Here is a 3,402-nt window from a genome sequence, read left to right as displayed (position 1 = left end):
CAGATAAAACAATGAGGAAATGTTTATTTGAATTTTTCCCAATAATAATGCCAAGCTGATATAATAAATAAACCATATGGTCATTTTCTAGTATTTACACTATCATAGAGCTTCTTATATTTTATTCATAGGATATAATGTCTTGGCTACAGTGTGAAGGGCCTGAATATATGAATATCTCATGTACAGTAATACAACATATGCATTCTTGAAGATTACCTTAGAGTTTAATTTATCTTTACTTTTTATTACTTGTAAATATTAGTAAATGGATGATTTAGAAAATATAAGTAGTTCAAGGTGAGTACTGTTTTACATTTTCTGATCCTGCTTCAGGACATGGATGGATGCCACAATAACATAATCGTGACTGTCAGGAATTTTTCCAGACATTAATAATAAGTGACACAGAAAGTCACAGACGGTACTGGTCATCAGTTTAGTCCAAATTTGATCAAAAGCTGAAGTAAGGAGGGGGAGAGGAGACAAAAACAGTTTCTAAAATAACCCCTTTTATACACATATGCATGTTTCTATGATAAAATAGAAAGCTTTCATTCACTTAAAAGTACAGTATATTTTGATTAAAATTTGCCTGATGTTAAATATTTCAGAAGAAGAATTATATGTAAATATTTCAGCACCATCTAAACTTTTCACCCAGGTGAAATAAACAGCTTTATTGCTCACACAAAGCCTGTTTGGTGGTCTCTTCACAAGGACGCGCATGAAATAATCCATCTTCTTTCTATCCTCACTGCCAAATACACACACACACATGCACACAAACCTATACATACATACACAGGTATATTCATATACACAAACAGTCTTGTTTTTCTAAAGCAATTGAAATATGTTTTCTAAATTGATTTTAAATATTACATATGTACATAAATATCATAGGTAAAGTAAAATTATTTTACGGTTTTATGGTAAATTTGTTTTATACAAGTAACTTAAAATAATTTTATGTTGAGAAAAAACTACTTTCTCCAATTGAACAGTTCATCTTGGACTAAATTAGGCATCACTTTCACTAAAATATGCTATTTTTTATAAGTAGAGTAACATTTGTCCTTATGAACAAACTTGCAGAAAAAATAATATTTTGCTATATAGACTTTGCTTATGTATAAAAAGACTTTAAGGGAAGATAAAAATGACTTTCTTTCCATTTCCTTGTACAGAATAATAGCACAATTGACATGAGTGAAATGTTATAGAAACAGACACATTTTGTTTGGAGACAAGTATGAAATATTTCAACCTTAAAGGTGGACTTTTTAGAAAATGGTGAACAGAGTAAAAACAACAGTGTTAATGGGAGAGCAGTTATAGGATCATCTATATTGTTAATGTAAATTATATTGCCATAGAATTTTTCCATCTTTTTCGAAACAAAATCAAGAGCATTTTATCATAACAAAAGTCTATTCTTTTCCAACTCAGTAGGAAATAGCCAGTAGTGGAATTCTCGTTAAAATGCACATGATAAAATATGCAGCTCAGATGTGTCTTGTAAATGTACAGGTTAAAAGAAACTTTTTTATAAATGAGCTGACCTTCAAAACAGTAATATCACACCTAAAACAAATGCCTGCTATTTGTGTGCCATGGGACTTTGACATATATAAGTAAAGAGATAAAACATATATTAGCACAATGTGGGAAAGTACCATCTTTGAAATAAAATAAATCTCCAACTTTATAAAAATACCTGGACAAATAACTTTTCATCGATGTGTCACCAGCATCCAGGTCTTCAGAGTAATAGTATTATCCCTCCTTTTTATGACTCCAATAGTTGAACCTGCCACAGACGTCTATCTAGTTTCCTGAATAGTCTTATCAGTAATGTATGAACTAGACCTTATATCATAAGGCAAGACAAAACATCAGTGAGATAGTGAAATACAGTCAGTTTATCAGCATTGATGTCATGTTAGTTGTAACCCAGCTCTACAAGGCTGATCATGTTAAGAAGATAAATGTACTTAGATTGTATTAGCAGCTGTGGAAGATAAGTCAGAGCAAGGTGACTATGAGTAGTATGTAGAGAAGTGAAAAATATCAACAGAGTAATACCAAAGTAGCAACTAAGAGCTTGTAGATATTCCTGGTCAAATTACTGAAAATATTCTCATATAACACCTTTTATTTTTTCTTTCTATATTTTAATACATTGGCAATGCTAAATTAAAACCAAGAATAAAAAATTGCAACCTGGCAAGTACACTGTTCTTTATTTTATGGAATATGATAAGATTTACAGTCTACAATCTGAAGCAATAGAAGGAAAAAAGAAAGCTTCTTCTAATGTATAAGAGTTACTCCAGTTACTACGTGAAACTCTAATAACAATTCATCTTTTTTATAATTCAAATGGTTTTCAATTCTCACATCTTTCAATGTGTGTTGTGTTGGAAAAAAATTCTTTAAACAACAATTAAAAGCAGTTTTTTTCTATATTCCTGATAAAATAAAACTATTATCTAATGATCTGTAATGCATGCTGATGAAACTATATTAAATGTCTCACTTCTTTTTTTAACTTTAAACAAAATTATAGAGTTGTTTGTTTTTGTGTAGGAACTTCTACTAAACATATGAGAGATTTATTCCTGTTTTTCTGTGGAAAATAAATCCATTTTTTACTGTGTGATATTTTATTGAATAAATATATCACAATTCATTTCGCTTTAACATTTTTTGTTATTACAAAGAGAAAATATTTGAATGTGCTTATACTCAATAATATAATGAGTATTCTTTTATATGTCTTTTTGTAAAAATATACTTGCATGTAAGATAAAGATGTCAACCTTAAATGATGAGATCCAGAAAATATAATTAAGTACAGAGTCTATTCATGATCAAAGTTTGAGAATGGCACTCAGGAAATACGGACTCCAAAGTGTCGGCTTTCCAAAATGCAGAAGCTAAAGTATTACTTGTATAGACAGAAACACAGAAGTTCAACAGGGTTGCAACATTTTCCATGTAAGGCCAGTACATCCATTACAGCAATTTGATCGGTTACAGCTTGCTATGTTCCAAGGAAGATCGCTTTAAAATTCTGTCTGGAGAAGCAATGGTTTTTATGGGCCTTATCTCTGGTGCCATTTGGTCTTTTCTAATAATTTACAGACAAAAAAATAAAGAGACTTAATCTAAAAACAAAGAAGCAGAAGTTGCAAATGCATGCTACATCGTTCAAACCACATAGTCACATTCATCTCAAAGCTTAAGTAACTTAAATTTCCAACAGCTTTAAGCTTGAATTATTTAATTTCATATTTCTTTTTTTCCATCAAGATGTTCCAAAGAAAGCATGGTAGATAAACTCAAACAGTTTGGTTCCCTGTAAGTTCAGGAACTTAGTCCAGTGTTGCTAGAAAA

The sequence above is a fragment of the Homo sapiens genome, chromosome 4 (assembly GCF_000001405.40).
Source record: "Homo sapiens chromosome 4, GRCh38.p14 Primary Assembly".
In the NCBI taxonomy this organism is placed as follows: domain Eukaryota; kingdom Metazoa; phylum Chordata; class Mammalia; order Primates; family Hominidae; genus Homo; species Homo sapiens.
This window is presented reverse-complemented; position numbering follows the sequence as displayed.